The 20,828-nt window shown below is 46.2% G+C and overlaps 1 pseudogene, besides 1 other annotated feature; it reads right to left on the bottom strand.

Moving 5' to 3' along the window:
- Positions 1 to 20,828, bottom strand: part of BNIP3P12 (BCL2 interacting protein 3 pseudogene 12) — a 65,535-nt pseudogene that overhangs the window by 42,599 nt on the left and 2,108 nt on the right.
- Positions 7,145 to 7,439: a silencer, noted in NCBI's record as "tiled region #9515; HepG2 Repressive non-DNase unmatched - State 4:PromP". NCBI's record gives its function as "represses a minimal TATA promoter and a strong SV40 promoter by Sharpr-MPRA in HepG2 cells {active_cell/tissue: HepG2}" and the evidence as "EXISTENCE:reporter gene assay evidence [ECO:0000049][PMID:27701403]".

Raw genomic sequence — 20,828 nt, 5'->3', positions numbered from 1 at the left:
CTTAAGCCTGCTAAGTTCCCAGTGGAGGGACGACCAGCACCACAGCTGTGGCTTGCTGCTGTCTAAGCTGTTTGAGCTCCTTGGGGGAGGGACAGCAGCCAGCACGGGGACTCACAACTGCCTAACAGGCTAAGATCCCTGGGTGGGGAAAGGCAGCAGCCATATCTATAGCTCCTGACCACACTTTTCCCCTGCTAGAGCCAGGGAGGCTGGACAGCTTGGTCTCAAGAGGTGTCCCCCACAGCCCAACACACCGGCTGTGGCTGACTGCAGCCAGAATGTCTCTTCAGGCCTGACCCTCACCCATCCCTCCTCACTGGGCAGGGCCTCCCAGCAGGAACTCCAACAGCTCCAGCCAGGGGCTCAGGGACAGAACTGTGATCTCCCTGGGCCTGAGCCCCTAGGGGGAGAAGAGGCTGCATCCTCTGTGAATCAGCAGACTTAGCCTTTCCTCCTGCTTGCTCTGAGGAATTCGGGCAGCCCAGACGAGTGGGATTTTCCCTAGCAAAAAGCCCCTCCTCCACCAAGGAACAGTCAAAGTGCTTCATTTAATGGGTTTTGCTCCCCATGCCACCCAACTGGGTGTGACCCTTCAGCAGGGGTTGTCAGACACTCTATACAGGAGCGATCCTACTGGTATCAGGTTGGTGCCTCTTGAGTTCAGAGATCCCAGAGAAAGGAGCAGGCACCCTTCTTTGTTGTTCTCGAAACTTCTTGAGTGACATCTCCAGGTACAGGAGTGAAACAGATGAATAGGGCCTGAAGTGACCCCCCAGCAAACTGCAGCAGCCCTACAGAAGAGGGACCTGACTATTGAAAGAAAAACAAACAAACAGGAAGAAACAACAACAGCATCAACAACAAAAGCATACCCACAAAAACCCCATCCAAGGCTGGGCGTGGTGGCTCACACCTGTAATCCCAACACTTTGGGAGACCGAGGCAGGCAGATTGCTTGAGGTCAGCAATTCGAGACCAGCCTGGCCAATATAGTGAAACCCTGCCTATACTAAAAAATGCAAAACTTAGACTGCCGTGGTGGTGCATGCCTGTAGTCCCAGCTACTTGGGAGCCTGAGACATGAGAATCAATTGAACCTGGGAGGCGGAGGTTGCAGTGAGCCAAGATTGTGCCACTGCACTCCATACTGGGTGACAGAGTGAGACTCTATTTCAAAACAAAACAAAACAGAACAAAAAAACTCATCCAAGTGTCAGCAGTCTCAAAGATGGAAACTAGACAAACTCATGAAGATGAGAAAGAATCAACAAAAACCCCTGAAAGGCCCAAGTGCCTCTTCTCCTCCAAATGATCACAATGTCTCTTCAGCAAGGGTGCAGAACTGGACAGAGGATGAGATGGACGAAGTGACAGAAGTAGGCTTCAGAAGATGTGTGACAGCACACTCCGCTGAGCTAAAGAAACATGTTCTAACCCAATGCAAAGAAGTTAAGAACCTTGATAAAAGGTTAGAGGAACTGCTAAATAGAGTAACCAGTTTAAAGAGGAACATAAATGACCTGATGGAGTTGAAAAACACAACACAAAAACTTCGTGAAGCATACGAAAGTATCAATAGCCAAATTGACCAAGCAGAAGAAAGGATATCAGAGTTTGAAGACCACCTTGCCGAAATGAGGCATGCAGACAAGTTTACAGAAAAAAGAATTAAAAGGAGCAAACAAAGCCTCTGAGAAATATGGTGTTCTGTGTAGGAAATGCATGAGGGGAGAAGAAAAGACACATACACAATACCGTTAAGGGTAAACAAGCTTTATTCCATGTAAATGGCCATGCACATATAATAAGCAAATTGATATAATAAGCAAATTGCAATGGGAAGGGGAGAAGGGAAAAAACATGTATATATATTTACACTCATCAGACTATGGAGGATTTGTCACCAGACAGGGAAGTGACAGCCTGGGCTCCAGAGTCAGACACCGCACTCACCATACTATGGAGGATTTGTCACCACAGCAGGAAGAAACAGCCTGGGCTCCGGAGGCGGTCACCCGTCCATGCACAAACGAGGAGAGGTCTCTTGAAGCCTTGGTGCGGTCTTGGACCCTAGCTCTTTTTGTAACAAGTTGTTTGGCATGAGGCTCAGTCACAAGGGCCCTTTGTGACTGGGCTCAAGGAACACAAAAAGGCCAACTTGTTTTTGGGATTGCCTATTGTTTTTCAATTTCTAACGTATAGGAATAGATTGAAATAAAGATTTTTTTCTGAAACAGCACTGGATGAACGCCTCAAGGGGCTCACACAACCTCTGCCAGGACTTGGTGACCATTATTTGTGTCCACATTCAATTTAGTTCAAATTTAATATTTAACTTTCCCTCCACATTTGGCCTCAATTGGATACTCAATTGTAGGAAAATACCCTCTCAGATACATGGAAAAGGCATAATTGATATAGATTACAGATACAGGGTAACACAGGAGAATTAAAAGCACAATTAATAAAAACCACACTCAGCATGGCTTTCCAAGGAGAGTCATATTGTGAGAATTACCAGAGATATACACACAACATTCAGTTTGCAGTAACGTGCAAACCCCTCCTTGGGCTGCGGTAAGCATTTTTAATGCCATTTGATTTTGCAACACAATAGTACGCAGCTGAGCAAATTCATCTGATAACAACACAAGTTCAGTGCTACTATCATTAAGAGCTTTTTCTACATGTAAGGTAAATATTTTAATGTGTTGGTGAAGGAGGAATGTACTGGTGGCAGGGGAGAATACTGTGATAGGGTACCACCACCAGGGAGACCAGCACATTTGTAACCAGTGGTGTTTGTAAGCATCTAGATTACTGGGGAAGGGAATATTATCCCGGATAGTGAATGGAATTAATGTCCACCCTCAAGTGCATCTTCCCATCCAATGCAGGGACAGTATTGCAACCCATAGGATCTGCATACCCAGAGGGCCCCCCAGGGGACAGCAATGGAGCTACTGTAATCATAGTGTACTAATGTGTTATTAAAATAGGAAAGAGATTGTGGTTCATTGGGGGGCAGTGTTGTTGATTTGGAGTATGTGTTGACAAATGTCTGAAGAAACCCCAAAGAAACATTAGAGGAGCCATTTAAGGCCTCCAGAAAAAGCGAAGCCTGTATGGAATCCAGCCACCAGCACAGCAGGTTTTCAGTGTATATTGTTCCAGGATTATTGGGCAAGATATCAAGACTTTTGATGCAAGGTGAGGGTGGAGTTCATCTTTTGTCTGACCTGGCAAAGATAGATTGCTTAGTGTGGTGAAAGGAAGCCCAGGTTGGATTGCAAGTGTTGTTGTTGTTGTGGCCCTACTGGTAACAATATAGCCATTCAGAAATGTTGTCAGGGACGATTCTTCAAGATAGCCCATCCCAGGCAGCCTCCGGCAACTCAACATATAGCCAACATTGACTGTGGATGGCTTCAGTTGCAGCGGTGGCTACCCAGGTGATGAATTTATTCTTGGCTTCAGACACAAAGACACAGGTGCTGACCATTAGTAGATAGGTTATTCCCTGTAATAACAAAAATGGAGTGGAACATGATTTATTTTTCATCTTTAGGAAATTGTACTATGCCTTCATTTCCCGCTTTCATAGCTACAAGGTCACCAGCCTTAGGGTCAAGATGTGATGGACGCTGTATGCATATTTTGGCTCCAGGATTTAAGCTACCTGTACCAGGGGATCTGAATCCCCCAGTTCTGTATGTAGACTCTGTTGGGGCAGAGATTTCCTCAGGAGTTAATTGTTGACAAGGGTACCACTAAAAATTGAGTAACCAGCATCTAGTTTTATAGCAAAAGAATCTGGAGTGTTATTGTATAAAATGACCTTTAACTCTCCCTGGTAATCACTATCAATTACACCACCATACACTATAATGCCTCTCTTTGCAAGGCTTGAACACATTGTAATCTATTCATCCACATTCAAGTTTACTGTTATGGTGGAAATTGTGGCCTGTTTTTCTTCCTGCTGATTAAATAGCCTGTCAAGAGAAAGCAGAGATGCATGGGCATCAACATGGAAAACAGGGCTGCACATGGTGGTGAAGGGGGCCTGCCCCTCCACACCTGTGGGTGTTTCTCACAAGGTGGAGATGAGAGACTGAGAAAAGAAATAAGACACAGAGACAAAGTATAGAGGAAGAAAGGTGGACCCAGGGGACCGGCGCTCAGCATACGGAGGACCCGCACCCGGCACTGGTCTCTAAGTTCCCTCAGTATTTATTGATCACTATCTCTTTCATCTCAGTGAGGGGGATGTGGTACGACTACAGGGTAATGGTGGGGAGAGGGTCAGCAGGAAAACATGTGAGCAAAGGACTTTGTGTCATAAATAAGTTTAAGGAAAGGTGCTGTGCCTTGATGTGCACGTAGGACAGATTTATGTTTGACTTTACACAAACATCTCAGTGTCGTAAAGAGCAGTATTGTCGCCAGCATGTCTCACCTCCAGCCATAAGGTGATTTTCTCCTATCTCAGTAAATAGAATGTATGATCAGGTTTTACACCGAGACATTCCATTCCCAGCGATGAGCAGGAGACAGATACCTTCCTCTTATCTCAACTGCAAAGAGGCCTTCCTCTTTCACTAATCCTCCTCAGCACAGACCCTTTATGGGTGTCGGGCTGGGGGATGGTCAGGTCTTTCCCTTCCCATGAGGCCATATCTCAGGCTGTCTCAGTGGGGGGAAACCTTGGACGATACCCAGGCTTTCTTGGGCATGAGGTCCCTGCGGCTTTCCGCAGTGCATTGTGTCCCTGGGTACGGGAGACTGGAGAATGGCGATGACTTTTACCAAGCATACTGTCTGCAAAGACATTTTTAACAAAGCACATCCTGTACAGCCCTAAATACATTAAATCTTGAGTCAATACAGCACATGTTTCTGCGGGCACAGGGTTGGGGCTGGGGTTACAGATTAACAGTATCTTAAGACAGAAGAATTTTTCTTAGTACAGATCAAAATGGAGTTTCTTATGTCTTCCTTTTTCTACATAGACACAGTAACAGTCTGATCTCTCTTTCTTTCCCCCACATGGTGGCTGACGCCTGTAATCCCAGCACTTTGGGAGGCTGAGGTGGGCGGATCACGAGATCAGGAGATCGAGACCATCCTGGCCAACATGGTGAAACCTTGTTGAAACAGTGATAACAGTGAAACAGTGATAATGGCAGTGTGCAATGGATTGAGATATCTTCCAAGTATTGTTGTCCCCAAACCTCTTTATTCTGAATTAACCATTTGTTTCATTGTCATTGGGGCTTCCAGGTAGAAAGACCATTTGGTACTGACCAAGATTTGGTATACAAGTGAGAAATCCCTCTGCCTTCCTCCTGAATAGCTTGAAGGATGGCTACTAGTTCAGCTAACTCGCTGCTCCCACCCCTTCCTTCATCAGAAATTTTTATGTTTTTAACAGGATTATAAGCCACAGCCTTCCAGCATCAGGTCCCACCAATGTATTTGGCGGATCCGTCTGTAAATCAAGCATGTTTCTGATCCTCTGGGCTTAGTTCTTCAAAGGATTTGCCCCACTGGGTGGGAGTGAGGGGATTTCCTTCCCTACCTGCAGGACTTGCTCCATGATTTCCTGAGCTGGCAGGTTTTGTGCATCCTCATGTAAAAGTGATACCCACTTTGGTTTTGGCTTAGCCTGGTCTTGTATGTACCACGTCCATTTTATGATGCTCCTTCTTGGGCATGCCCTATCTGGTGGGTTTTGGGGGAACTCATGAGCCAAGTCATAATAGGAGTTTCGGGCCTCATAAAGACATCATGGTTGAAGCAGAGGTGTTCTGTTTCCAGCAAAGCCCAATAAGAAGCTAACAATTGCTTCTTGAAAGGGGTATAAGCTTTTCCGGCCTCTGGCAGTTTCTGGGTCCAAAACCTGAAAGGTACCCTCTTCCCACCTTGTTTCTGCCTAAGGCTCCAATTAGCATTTTGATCTAGGACAGTTACTTGCAGTTCTCCTGGCCCATCCTGTATGGGCCATAGATCCAGGGCCAGTTGACCCACTCATTTAGCTTGTTCAGAAGCCATGTTCTCCTTCTTTCCCCAGTGAAAGTCATAGCGTTTTCTAGTGGCTGCATGCAGAGGTTGTAAAATGTTACCCAAGTGGGGAATATGATGTCTCCAGAATCTAAACCAGCCAATAAATGTCTGGGCCTCCTTTTAAGTAGTAGGGTTTGCAAATTCTAATATTTTAGCCTTAGCCTTTTGTAAAATGGACTATATCTCTGCATTCCATAGGATGCCAAGGAATTTTACAGTTTATGCAGGTCCTTGAATTTTACTAAGTTTAATTTCCCATCCTGGAGGTAGGAGCTGGGTTTTTACCTGCTCCAAGCCCCAGCAAACTAGCTCTTCAGTTTTAACCTAACCGAGCCATTCGGACGGCTGCTTTTTTCAGTAATAGGGTGATAGCTTTGAGCCTGATCAGTCAAGATATAGGCCTGGCATTGGGCCAGGGCCAGTCTGGAAATCACACTAGCATTTTTCTTTTCCAACTTAAAATATCTTGTAGCAACCAGCCCCTCTCTTGATACATTAATTTATTAGCAGTAAGCAAACACCATCGACTCCAGGGGATCCCTCAGCATCTCCTTTGCTGACTGGAATCTCCTGCAGCACTTCCCGCACAGTCAAAGGTTTAAATTGCACTAATTTAATTCTCAATTCCCACAAAGGCCAGTTCCCCTTGACCATTCGGTTGCCATGGGGGAGAACTGGTGGAGTTCCCATCCCGATATATGGGAAGTCCCCAAGCCTCCAGCCCTGTCCTTCTGGCCAAAACCTGCACCTTTTGTTTTCAAATCCTGTTTGTGACACCAAAAATGTTCTGGGTGGGAAACATGCAAGAGGAGAAGAAAAGATACACACAATACTTTTAAGGGTAACAAGCCTTATACCACATAAATGGCAATGCAGATATGTGGGTGGCAAGCCACCCAGGTGCCAAGGCAAGAGACTGATGGCACGAGCTGTTCCAGTATAATAAAATATATAAAATAAGAATAGTTATACTAGATATAGATCTTAGATATGATTATATATGAATATCATTAATCATTAGTTTATAGCAATTATTCTTTATTCCAATATTATAGTAATCCTCACTCTACAATCATAACCTAGGAAAAACCAGGCCATACAGAGATAGGAGCTGAGGGGACATAGTGAGAAGTGACCAGAAGACAAGTGTGAGCCTTCTGTTATGCCCAGACAAGGCCACCAGAGGGCTCCTTGGTCTAGCGGGTAACGCCAGCATCTGGGAAGATGCCCGTTGCCGAGCGGACCATGGTCTAGCGGTAAAGTCAGTGTCAAGGAAAAACACCTGCTACTTAGCAGACTGGGAAAGGGAGTCTCCCTTTCCCTGCGGGAGTTTAGAGAAGACTCTACTCCTCCACCTCTTGTGGAGGGCCTGACATCAGTCAGGCCTGCCTGCAGTTGTCTGGAGGCCTAACCGTCTCCCTGTGATGCTGTGCTTCAGTGGTCACGCTCCTAGTCTGCTTTCAGGTTCCATCCTGTACACCTGGCTCTGCCTTTTAGATAACAGTAGCAAATTAGTGAAAGTACTAAAAGTCTCTGATAAGCAGAAATAATGGCATAAGCTGTCTCTCTCTCACCTCTCTCTCTCTGCCTTGGCTGCCAGGCAGGAAAGCGCCCCCTGTCCAAAGGACACGTGATTCTTATGACCTTACCTATCATTGGAGATGGCTCACACTCCTTACCCTGCCCCTTTGTCTTGTATCCAATAAATATCAGTGCAGCCTGGCATTCGGGGCCACTACCGGTCTCTGCATCTTGGTAGTAGTTGTCCCCCGGGCCCAGCTGTCTTTTCTTTTATCTCTTCGTCTTGTGTCTTTATTTCTACACTCTCTCATCTCTGCACACAGGGAGAAAAACCCACCAACCCTATGGGGCTGGACCCTACACAGATATAATAAACAAATGATATAATGGGCAAATGATATAATAGGCAAATCAATATAATAAGCAGATTGATATAATAAGCAAATTGTGATGGGAAGAGGAGAATGGAAAAGAGATATATATATATTTACACTCACCAGGCTATGGAGGATTCACCACCAGACTGGGAAGAAACAACCTGGGCTCCAGAGTCGGCCACTCATCTGTGCACAGAAGAGGAGAGCTCTCATGAATCTTCAGTGCAGTCTGGGACCCTAGCTCTTTTGTAACAAGTTTTTTGGCATGGGGCTTAGTCATGAGGGCCCTTCACGACTGGGCTCAAGGAACACAAAAAGGTCAACTTGTTTTTGTGATTGTCTATTGTTTCTCAATAACGAATGTATAGGAATAGATTGAAATAGAGATTTCTCCTAAACAGCACTGGATGAACCCCTGAATGGGCTCACACAACCTGTGCCAGGACTTGGTGACCATTGTTTGTGTCCACATTCAATTAGTTCAAATTTAATATTCAAATTTGCCTCCACACCAGACTATGGAGACTCACCACCAGACCAGGAAGCAACAGGCTGGGCTCCAGAGTTGGACACCACACTCATCGGACTATGGAGGGTTCACCACCAGACTGGGAAGCAACAGCTTGGGCTCCAGAGTCATCCAGCCATCCGTGCACAGACAAGGAGAGGTCTCACAAAACTTCGGTGCAGTCTGGGATCCTAGCTCTTTTTGTAACGAGTTGTTTGGCATGAGGCCCAGTCACGAGGGCCCTTCACGACTGGGCTCAAGAAACACAAGAAGATCAACTTTTTTTGCGATTGTCTATTGTTTTTCAATAACTAATGTATAGGAATAGATTAAAATAGAGATTTCTCCAAAACAGCGCTGGATGAATGCCTCAAGGGGCTCACACAACCTGTTCCATGACTTGTTGACTATTGTTTGTGTCCATGTTCAATTAAGTTCAAATTTAATATTTAACTTTTCCTCCACAAATTCCCCCATCTTGATTAATTGGCTCTGTCTAGGCAAAGGGCAAGGTGAACTCCTTGGGCCATTACACAACCTCTGCCTCCTGGGTTCAATTGATTCTCCTGCCTCATCCTCCAGAGTAGCTGGGACTACAGGTGTGCACCACCACGCCTGGGTAATTTTTTGTATTTTTGGTAGAGATGGGGTTTCACCATGTTGGCCAGGCTCGTCTCAAACTCCTGACCTCAAGTGATCTGTCCACCTTGGCCTCCCAAAGTGTTGGGATTACAGGCGTGAGTCACCGTGGCTGGCCCTAAATGACTTCTTTCTATCTCCTATAACAGTTTGAAATTACTTAAAGGTTGTTTTGAATTGAAATAATAAAAAGAATATAGGTAAAAACAAAATAGAAAAAATTTAAAAAATTACAAGAGATTACAAAATATATATGTAAATCTTGAGAGGTCAAAAATGACAAATTTGATTTATTTATAAGGTTTATTAAAATTAGCTTTAGTATTCAAAATACACTACTACCAAAGTAAAAGTTGATTTTCTCTTGAACAAAAATTTTATGTATTATTAATATGAAAGCAAAATACTTCTGTTCACCTTTTGAATAAATTCAAAAAGAGAGAGTAAAGAAGAGAGAGAATTTCCCCAAGCTCTGGGGTGGGCTTGGCTCAGCTCAGGGAGGAAACCCTGCCTGAAAAGGCTGCAGCTTAGGTTGTCAGTCTTTCTTCACTCAGCCCAGCATCTGATGACATCTTCTGTCACTCAGGGCCTGAAGGGGCGGAGCCTTAAGCATTATCCAGTCAGGGACGCTGGGCAGGAAATCCTCAAATCAGGCATGAAGCTGAAGCGAACAGGACGACTTCTGGGTTTGGTGGGGCCTTTGTCTCTCGCTGCAGCGGGAGCTCCAGGTCTGGTCTTCACTACTCTGTGTCGTCTGCTCCTAGAGGCCCAGGCTCTGTGTCCCTCTGACCTGCAGGTTTTGGGAGATCCACAGCTAAGACTCCAGGACCCCCTGGAAGCCTAGAAACAGTGACAGTGCCAGTCCGACATCCTGAGAGTGAGGGAGGGGCTAGTTGGAACCGGGGTGATGTGGCTGTGGCGGGACTCAGGCCTCCCCACAGTAATCTCCACAATCTGCGCCCGAGTTCTCCTTGCCCAGCTTGGCCTCAGTCCCCTTCAGCCATAAGACGGCAGCTGTGCTGACAGCCAGAATCCCGGGTGAAGGGGGCCTGCCCCTCTACACCCATGGGTATTTCTCGCAAGGTGGAGATGAGAGACTGAGAAAAGAAATAAGACATGGAGACAAAGTACAGAGGAAGAAAAGTGGGCCCAGTGGATGGCGCTCAGCAAGTGAGGACCTGCGCCCGCGCTGGTCTCTGAGTTCCCTCAGTATTTATTGATCACTATCTTTACTATCTCGGCGAGGGGAATGTGGCATAACTATAGGGTGAATGTGGGGAGAGGGTCAGCAGAAAAACGTAAGCGAAAGACTCTGTGTCATATATAAGTTTAAGGGAAGGTGCTGTGCCTGGATGTGCACGTAGGCTAGATTTATGTTTAACTTTACATAAACATCTCATTGTGGTAAAAAGTAGCAGAGCAGTATTGCCGCCACCATGTCTCGCCTCCAGCCATATGGCAGTTTTCTTCTGTCTCAGAATAGAATGTATGGTCGGTTTTACACCAAGTCATTCCATTCCCAGAGGCATGCAGGAGACAGATGCCTTCCTCTTAACCGCATAGAGGCCTTCCTCTTCACTAATCCTCCTCAGCACAGACCCTTTACTGGTGTTGGGCTTGGGGGCTGTAAGGTCTTTCCCTTCCCATGAGGCCATATCTCAGGCTATCTCAGTCAGTGGAAACCTGTGTAATACCCAGGCTTTCTTGGGCAGGGGTCCCTGCGGCCTTCCGCAGTGCATTGTGTCTCTGGTTAATAGAGAATGGAGAATGGCGATGACTTTCACCAAGCATTCTGCGTGCAATCACATTTTTAACAAAGCACATCCTGCACAGCCCTAGATCCATTAAACCTTGAGTCTACACAGCACATGTTTTTGTGAGCACAGGGTAGGGACGAAAGTTACAGATTAACAGCATCTCAAGGCAGAACAATTTTTCTTACTAGAGATCAAAATGGAGTTTATTTTGTCTTCCTTTTTCTACATAGTCACAGTAACGATCTGATCTCTCTTCCTTTTCCCCACACCTGGGTGTCCTGCCTCTTCCCTGTGCAGCGACTGTGCCCTGGCCTGGAGCCCTGTCTGGGCAGCTCTGCGCCTGCAGTGTGGCGTCTCTCCCAGATTGTGCAGGGACCACGGGAGGGTGGTCAGGGGAGAATCCTGACTCGGGGTGCGGGTCCATGAATGGGAAGAGCTTTGGACCATGGGGTTGACAGTTTCTCTTTTCTCCTATTAAAAATTTATGGGGCGAGCCTAGGTGGCTTACGCCTGTAATCCCAGCATTTTGGGAGGCCAAGGTGGGTGGATCACTTGAGGTAAGGAGTTGTTGGGACAACGAAGTTCCTCTTCAAAGACAACTTCCTGGTCATAAGTTGTAAAAGCTGTAAATCAACCCTATCCCTTCTTCTTTCCCCTTCTCCTTTTCTCGCAAAATCACGAGTTTACCCTATTTGGAAAAAGTTTAAGGGTAAGCCAACCGGGATTGTGCGTCGGATCCCCGGAGGCTCACGCCTGTAATCTCAGCACTCTGAGAGGCTGAGGCGAGTGGATCATGAGTTCAGGAGTTGTAGACCAGCCTGGTCAACATGGTGAAACTGAGTCTCTACTAAAAATACAAAAATTAGCTGGATATGGTGGCAAGCACCTGTAATCCCAGCTACTTAAGAGGCTGAGGCACAACAATTGCTTGAACCCAGGAAACTTAGGTTGCAGTGAGCTGAGATCATGCCATTGCACTTCAGCCCAGTCAACAGAGCAAGACTCCATCTCAAAAAAAAAAAAAAAGTAAGCATCTTAAAATTTCCTTCCCTTATATAAACACTGTGTTTGAGTAATTTCACTGGAATTTTCAAACACTTACTTTCAAAAACAAAGTGAATAACTCTGACATGGAAATTAAAGCTTGAACCTAGTGATTCCAAGCTAAGGCTAATATTAAGCCTGCAACAGAGGGTTGTTTGTTTTGTTTTGTTTTTTGTTTTTGGTGTGTGTGTGTGTGTGTGTGTGTGTGTGTGTGTGTCTGTGCACCCAGGCTGGAGTGCAATGGTGTGATCTGGCTCACCACAGCCTCTGCCTCCCAGGTTAAAGCAATTCTCCTACTTCAACCTCTGGAGTAGCTGGAATTACAGGCATGCACCATCACGCCCGGCTAATTTTGTGTTTTTAGTAGAGACGGGATTTGTCCATGTTGGTCAGGCTGGTCTCGAACTCCCGACCTTAGGTGATCCGCCCACCTCGACCTCCCAAAGTGCTGTGATTACAGGCATGAGCCACCGAGCCCGGCCAACAGAAGGTTATTAAAGGCCCAGTTACTTTTTTCTGGGGAGTCTCCACTGCAGATGTCCCAGCCTGCTCACCCCAGCCATGGAAGGATCCTTTATTCTGAGAGAAGCTACAGAGCCCTGGAAAGCTGGGGCCCCACAGGCAGATGCAGTTAAGATTAAGGTGAAAGGAAACTGGGAGGTTCTTACTGATGATGAAGTTGTTACTGTTTTGAGGCATTTTTTAGACTGTGTAAAATAAAAATGTTAGATTTATGTAAAAAAAATTCCAAAAAATTATTGCAACAGGAGGAAGTACCAACTAACTATAAGGAAGGTCTTTGTGGCTTGCAAAGATGTAGGCTGAAAAGGGCTTTCTTTCCTAGGGAGGAGCAAACAAGATTAGAAAGTAGGTGGGAGGGGAATGGCAAATGGAGGGTGAAAAAGTCAGATTTTAGATCAGAGAATGTGTTACCCTGAAATCAGCATGCTCTTAGGAGGGACATAAAATGGGGTTGTATGTTGACTCAGACTGAGGGTAGCTCAAAGTTCAGGAGCCTAAGGGAGGGATATAAGCTTAAATTTGATTAAGAAATATTTTATTTTAGGCCAAGTGAGGTGGCTCATGCCTGTAATCCCAGCACTTTGGGAGGCCAAGGCAGGCGGATCACCTGAGGTCAGGAGTTCGAGACCAGCCTGGCCAATATGGTGAAACCTTGTGTCTACTAAAAACACAAAAATTAGCCAGGTGTCACAGTGGGCACCTGTAATCCCAGATGCTCGGGAGGCTGAGGAAGGAGAATTGGTTGAACCCAGGAGGCAGCCATTGCAGTGAGCCGAGATCAAGCCACTGTACTCCAGCCTAGGCAACAAAGCGAGACTCCATTAAAAAAAAATAATAATTTTGATCACTGAAGACAAATTCAGCTGATTTTTCTAATGAGAAAAAGGAGAAAATCTGCAGAGTGTGTGTCTGGCTGTGTGATAGGTAAAACAGAGGACTATCTAAGTCATAATGGGAAGAGTGTTTCTTTCCATAAACTGTTCCTGGAGCACACAAAGGATGGAGAATTTTATTAATCACAAATATTTTCCAGGATTATCTATGTGTTTCATCTTCCCCCATCTCTTTTCTTTGTTCTATGCATTTCTTCCACTTGGCTTTTCCTGGGCTGCATCTTATATATTAAAACAGTAAACATAACTACAGTGTTTTCCTGAGTTCTGCGAGTAGCTCTACCAAATTATTGAACTTCAGGGAGGCGATGGGAGTCCCCAGTTTTTAAATAGTGGCTCCGAAGCATAGATGGGCCTGTGGGGTTTGTGGCTGGCATCTGCAGTGAGGACAGTGTTGTGGGACCGAGCCCTGAATCAGGGTCTGTGCTGACTCTGGGTGGTGTCAGAATTCAAATGTTAGACAATGAGTTGGTGTTGGAGGATAGTTTGATGTTCAGCAAACTACAGATTTGGTGCCAGAAAAAAAGATATTATGGAGGCCTGGCCTGGAGTAAAACTCTGGGTTTCTGGAAATGGGAGGCTCTGCTCTCCTGTACACAGGCTGTCACACTGCCCATTTTCCTGTGATTCCAGGTCTTCTCCCAGGGTGACAGAAGACTGAAAACTTAGAGAAAAGGACCTCTAAGAACAGACACCCCTGTCTTGCATCTGCCACCACAGGATTTCCACCCACTCACAAACACACACACACTAGACATTGATGTGTCCACACTCCTCCCAGGACTAGGCACCACCCTCAGGAACTTCACCACTGCATTTTTGATCCTAGTGTTTCTTGCCAAGAACCCACAAGTGTCTACAAGTCTTCTGGCATATCCCCACCCTCAGACACTGAATCTGCAGCAGCAACTTGTTTTCTCCACCAACCTAAGCTTCTGGGCCACCTGTTCATGATCTCATCTGCCTGCATTCACACAGAAATAAATCAGTACAGCCCCACCTGGGCCACTATCTGTAGTGAAAATCAGTCCTTTCAGCTACATTGCACTCTGCCATCCAGGGATATTTTTTCTTTTAGCTTTTATTTTTGGTTCGGGATATACATGTGTCTTTGTTTTACAGCTAAAATTATGTCATGGGGGTTTGGTGTGCAGATTATTTTGTCACTGAGGTACTACCCGTAGCACCAAACAGGTCTGTTTTCTCATCCTCTTAGTCCTCCCACCCTCCACCCTCATCTAGGCCTCAGTGTCTGTTGTTCTTCTCTTTGTGTTCATGTGTTCTTATTATTTAGCTATTACTTATAAATAATAACATGCATTTGGTTTTCTGTTTCTGTATTAGTTTTCTCTTTTTTTGTTGTTTTTTGTTTTGTTTTTTGAGATGGAGTTTTACTCTTTTTGCCCAGACTGGAGTGCAATGGTGCAATCTTGGCTCACTGCAACCTTCGTCTCCCAGGTTCAAGCGATTCTCCTGCCTCAGCCTCCCTAGTAGCTGGGATTAGAGGTGCATGCCACCATGCCCTGCTAATTTTGTATTTTTAGTAGTGATGGGCTTTTTCCATGTTGGTCAGGCTGGTCTCAAACTCCCGACTGCAGGTGATTTGCCCACCTCCCTCCCAAAGCGCTGGGATTACAGGCACAAGCCACCATGCCCAGGCTCTCCGTTAGTTTTCTAAGAATAGTGGTCTCCAGGTTCACTGATGTTTTTGCAAAGGACATGATCACTTTTTTTAATGGCCACAGAGTATTCCACGATGTTTATGTACCATATTTTGTTTTTACTAAATCTTTTATTTTATTTTATTTTTGGAGACAGGGTCACACTTATGGCCCAGGCTAGAGTGTCATAGCATGATATTGGCTTACTTTAGCCTCAACCTCCCAGGCTCAAGCAATTGTCTCCTACCTCATCCTCCTAAGTACTTGGTGTGGGGGGACTACACATGTGCTTTACCACACCTGGCCAATTTCTATTTTTGTATTTTGCATGGAGACAGGATTTTGCCCTGTTGCCCAGGCTGGTCTCAAACTTCTAAGCTCAGGCAATCCACCTGCCTCAGCCTCCCAGAGTGCTGGGATTACAGGCATGAGCCACCGCGTCTGACCATACCGTGTTTCCTTTATCCATTGATAGGCATTTAGGGCCTGTCCATGTCTTTGCTATTGTGAATAGGGAATCAACTGTATTGTTCTTTTTGAGTGGGTATGTATTGTAGCTGGAACAGGGAGTTCCTGGTTTGAAAGGACAATGTTAATGTTGGGAGTAAGGCAGACTAGGGCGCAAGTGCCTGTCCAGTTAGTAAGGAGACAGAAGTATGTTGTGGACCCGCAGAGAAAGAAGATGCCTGAGGTATTTATGCAAACAGACAGGTGGATTGAGAGTAGGTGTTGCAGTTTGTAGGTTCCCCACTTGGAGGGACTTGGCTCAGCTTCAGCAACCCAGAGTGAGAAAGAGACAGAAACCCCTTTGAGCACTCCTGTCCAAGGAAGGGGTTTCCATGTTTGAGAGGTGGGAGGGAGGAAATGCAGAAGGGCTGAGTAAAGAGACCGTTGACTTCAGGGGAGACTGAATAATCCACTCAGAGTGAGATATGGGAGGAAGGGTGAGAGATGGTTCGGGTTGAGTTACAGGCAGAGGGAAGGAGGGTGCCTACGTGTACGTGTCCATTGGAAGAGGTGATGCATAAGGGGGCTTGGCCAAGTCTTGTGGTATGGAGAGTTATGAGACCTTGGATGGTGGGGTATGGGAGTTTTGAGTCATCATAGTTGGCAATATAGATTGAAGAGGAGCTTGGTAGCTCTGTCAGTGAGGGCAGTGGGATAGTTTCCAGTGAGAGTGAGGGCTCTGTCTACAAAGGCAGGTCCCTTTTGGATGTTGTAAGAGAAGTGAATGGGAAAATGGTCTCAGGGCTAAGAAATTGGGATAGCTGAGTAGGCAGTAGAGGAAAGGCAAAAATAGGTCCAGAAACTGGAAGCAAATGTTGAATTGGAGCACAGTAACAAAAAGTGAGTGAGGTTGAGAGATCATTCGAGACTTGTAGAAGTGAGAAGGGACCCTGAGGAGGTAGAGGCCATGGGGCTGGCTGTCAAAAGAATTAGGAATCTGAGGAAGAATCAGAATCTGTTGTTGGAGAGAGGAGCTGGTAGGATCCATACAGGGAGGTGGCTTCTTCTAGGGGGTCTATGAGGTGGCTGATAGCGTCCCATGGATGGTCAAATTCTCCTTGCAGATGGGCAAGGTATAGGTGGGTTAAGACTTTTCCTCATGTGGAAATGGGGAGAGAAGAGAGGGATTCTAATATTTGGTATGCTGTAGGGTGAGGCTGTTCCTTGTCACGAGGACCTTGGCATCTGTAGCAGGGGCAGAAGTGATATGTAAAAGAGTTACCGCTCGTGGGCCTTCTTCAGGGATGGGCGTCAGGCAGAGTTTGGTTGGACAAAGGAGGGTGCTGGAGGATTGGTGGAGGACAGTCTGTGGTTCAGTAGGCACTGCAGGAGCCCTTTTTACTCTGGAAAGATGGTACCAAGAGGCATGTCCTGAGTTTGGCTGCAGTGGGGGTTGTAAGGATAATTTGAAAAGGGCCTTCCCACCTTGGTTTTAGCCTTGTTGGGTTAAGAGTTTTTAGGAAGACATACTTTCCTGGTAGGAGAGTCCAGTCAGTGGGGCCTTTGTGGGGTTTTGGGAGGGCTTGATCATTCACAGAGGAGATGACGGATAAGGGAGAAGGTTGGGAGATATTCTCCTAGCTGGGAGTCGAGAGGAGGCCTGTTTTGTAAGAGGAAAGGGCGTCCATACATTAACTCAAATGGGCTAAGGAAGAAGGGTGATTTCGGACTTGCTCTGATGCAGGCCAGTGCTATGGGCAAAAGGGAGGTCCATGGTTTTTGGACTTTAAGCTTGAGTTTGGTTAACTGAGCCTGAAGGATCCCATTTGCCCTTCTGACTTTTCTGGATGACTGGGGCCATTATGGGATACGGAAGCACCTCTGGACGCCAAGGGACTGAAAAACCTGTTGGATGATCTGGGAGATGAAGCTAGGGCCATTGTCTGATTGTATGGAGTGAGGGAGACCAAATATAGGGATGATTTCTGTTGTAAGGATTTGAGAGACTACTGCGGCCTTTTCTGAAGAGGTACGTAATGCCTCTACCCACCCAGAGAAGGTGTCTATAAGAGTAAGAAGAAATTTTGTCTTCTTGACGGGAGGCATGTGGGTGAAGTCTACCTGTCAGTCCTCCTCTGGGAGTGTTCCTCTGAGCTGATGTGTAGGAATAGGAGGAGAGCGGAGGGCCCCTTGGGAGGAAGTAACAGAGCATATATGACAGTTTGAGGTTATGTGTCTTAGTGAGATGAATAGGTGGGGGGAGGAGAAATAAGGGCAAAGGAGTAGGTACAGGAAGTGTGCACCGATATGGAAGGATTGGTGAAGAGATGTTAGAATTTATTTGGTTTGTTCTTGGGGGAGGATGAGCTTTTGACTTTTGATTATCCAGTCCCCTTGAAAGGAGGCTTCTTGCTGTAGTAGCAAAGCCTTCTTGGTGGGGGAGTACCTGGGTTGGATTGCTGGGGTAACAAGGAGGACAGGGGCAGGGGCTGATGAGAGGGAGGCTTCTTTTGCAGCCTCGTTGGCTTTTCTATTCCCTTTTTGATATTTTGTCTCATACTGTTTCACGTCCCTGACAGTATATAACCCCTGCCTAAGTTGGGAGGCATGCAGCCTGGAGGAGCTGGTAAATAAGGGGGCCGTTTTTAACGGGGGTTCCTTTGGCAGTAAGGAATCTCTTTTCTGCCAGATGGTGGTGCGAGAATGAAGAATGTGATCGGTATAATTAGAGTCTGTAAAAATGTTGACCCGTTTGCCTTTTGAGAGGGTTAGGGCCCTAGTGAGAGCTATGAGTTCTGCCTTTTGGGAGGAGGTTCCAGGGGGTAGGGGCTTAGCTTTAACTACTCTGTCAAGCATATCCAGCAATTTTATTGGAATTGACGGACTTGGAGGAGGAGCCATCTATAAATAACTGGTCATCAGGATCAAGAAGAGGTTCCGGGGAGATATTGGGAAAATGATGCAGCAGGTGATCAAGGATTTCAGTACAGGAGTGGATGGGAGAAGAGGAAGACACTGGAGGTAGAGATGCAGGACTGAGGGGAGCATTTTTGGAGAGGCAGAATTCAGGATTCTCAAGAAAAAGAGCATGGAGTAGTTGGATGTGGGAAGGAGAAAAGGTGCTCAGTACTTGGGAGGAGAGAAGATCTTGTAGATTATGTGGGCTATATATGGTGATGTCTTGGCTGAATGTTAGCTTTTTGCTTTCTAAAGCTAGCATGGTGGCTGCTGCTAGGACTCTGAGGCAGGCTGGCCATCCTCAGATGGTGTTGTTTAGTTGTTTAGAAAGGTAAGCTATAGGAGTGAAGGAAGGAGGACTTCCTTTTTGTTGACCGAGGACGCCAAGGGCTATTCCATGGTTTTCAGCTGTGTAGAGGGTGAAAGGCTGAGAGATGTTGGGCAAAGATAGAGCAGAAGCAGTTACAAGAGCTGCCTTTAGTTTGAGGAAGCTGGGGATTATGTTGTGTGAAGGATTTAGGGGCTCATTTGGAGGGCCTTTGGCTGCCTCATAAAGAGGGCAGGCTAGGAGGGCAAAATTAGGGATCTTGCTAGTTCTAAGAAAGAAAGGATTTCTCTTTTGGAGAAGGGTGGACGTAGACTGTCTATCTCCCGTGCTGGGGTCATGGCTTGGGCTCTGAGGGAGAGTTGGACTCCTAAGTTACTGTTGGGGTGGAGAGTTGTGCCTTAGAGGGGGAAACCCTATATTCTTTATCAGCAAGGAAGTTTAGAAGGGCAGTAGTGTGGGTTTGAGAGTCTTTTAGGGAGGGGCTGCAGAGGAGGAGGTCATCCACATACTGAAGGAGCCAGCAAGGGGAGAGGTTTAGCGATGTGAGGTCTTGGGCCAGAGCTTGCCCAAAGAAATGGGGACTATCTCTAAAGCCTTGAGGGAGGACTTTCCAAGTAAGTTGTTGAGACTGGAGGGTTTCAGGGTCAGTCCAGGTGAAAGTAAGAAGATCTCGGGAGTCAGGGTGAAAGGGAATAGCAAAAAAGGCATCTTTCAGATCAATGGCAGTGTAGTAGGTTGTGTTGGAAGGGATAAGGGAAAGGAGTGTATAAGGGTTGGGAACTATTGGGTGGATGGGAAGGACTGCCTGATTGATAGCCTAGAGGTCTTGGACTAGTTGATAGGAGCCATTTGCCTTCTTAACAGGAATTATGGGGGTATTATATGGAGAATGAGTTGGACTGAGAAGGCTGCGCAAAAGGAGTTTGTTTATGATGGGCTGTAAGCCTTTTTGATGAGCTACTGAGATGGGATATTGAGAGATGTTAGGGAATTTGGAGGCGTCTTTTAGCTGGATTTTGATAGGATCGTGGTGTGTAGCTAGGGAAGGGGTAGTAGTATCCCACACTATTGTATTAACCAGAGAAGAGGAGAGTGGATACTGGGGAGAGGGGCCCAGGGCTGGTTCAGTAGCAGAAAGGAGTAGGTGAGAGTCTGGTTGTGGGGAACAGAGGAAGGTAATGGAAGCCTTTAATTTGGTTAGGAGGTTTCTGCCTAGGATGGGGTTAGGGTAACAGGGCATGATAAGAAAAGGGTGTGAGAAAACGGTATGAAATAGGGAACAGGTAAGAGGCTTGGTGGTGCGTGGACTCGAGATGAGTCCATTAACCCCTACAACTGAGACCTGGGAGGGATGAGTTGGTCCTGAGAATTCAGGCATAGTTGAGTAGGTGGCCCCAGTATTGATTTAAAAAAGAGATCGGCTTACCTGCTGCTAGTAGAGTTACCCTGGGCTCTGATGCAGTGAAGGTAGATGGGGCCAGGGGCCCTGGGCCTCGTCAGTCTTCAGTGGCTAGACTAAGGAGCTGTGGGAATGCAAGTGATACTTCACCTTTTGTCTCTCCAAAAGGGTGGTGGTTTTGCAGTACAGGCTTTTCTGTCTGCCTGTTAACAGGACAGTCAGACTTCCAGTGGCCTGTCTGCTGGCAGACTGGGCAAGGGCTTTTTGGCATTCATGGATTAGGGCATGCTCATGCCCAGTGGCCTTCTTTGCTTCACTTTAAAAAAGGCCTGGGAGAGTTAATGCTATTGGGTGTTTTGTGCCCTTGGGTACTATGGCGAGGTTGGCAGATAGCCACTGCTAGAAGCTGGTATTTAGCAAGATCTCTTTAGGCTTTATCTAATTTATTTTGCTCATCCCTGTTATTGAAGACTTTGAAAGCCAGATTAGGGAGGTCTTGTTGGGGGTTTCAGGGCCATCTTCAGCCTTTTTAAGTTTGTGCCAAATATTGGGGGCAGATTGGAAGATAAAATGGGTATGAAGAACAATAGCACCTTCTCAGGAGGCAGGATCAACATGGGTATATTTTTGGAGAGCCTCCATAAGACAGGAAAAAAAATTGGGCAAGGTTTTCATTGATCTTTTGGGAGATTTCTTTGAGCTTTTTAA

This window comes from Homo sapiens, chromosome 19 (genome assembly GCF_000001405.40).
Source record: "Homo sapiens chromosome 19, GRCh38.p14 Primary Assembly".
NCBI classification, from domain to species: Eukaryota; Metazoa; Chordata; class Mammalia; order Primates; family Hominidae; genus Homo; species Homo sapiens.
The sequence above is the reverse complement of the archived record's forward strand: the minus strand, read 5'-3'. Positions and strand labels throughout refer to the sequence as shown.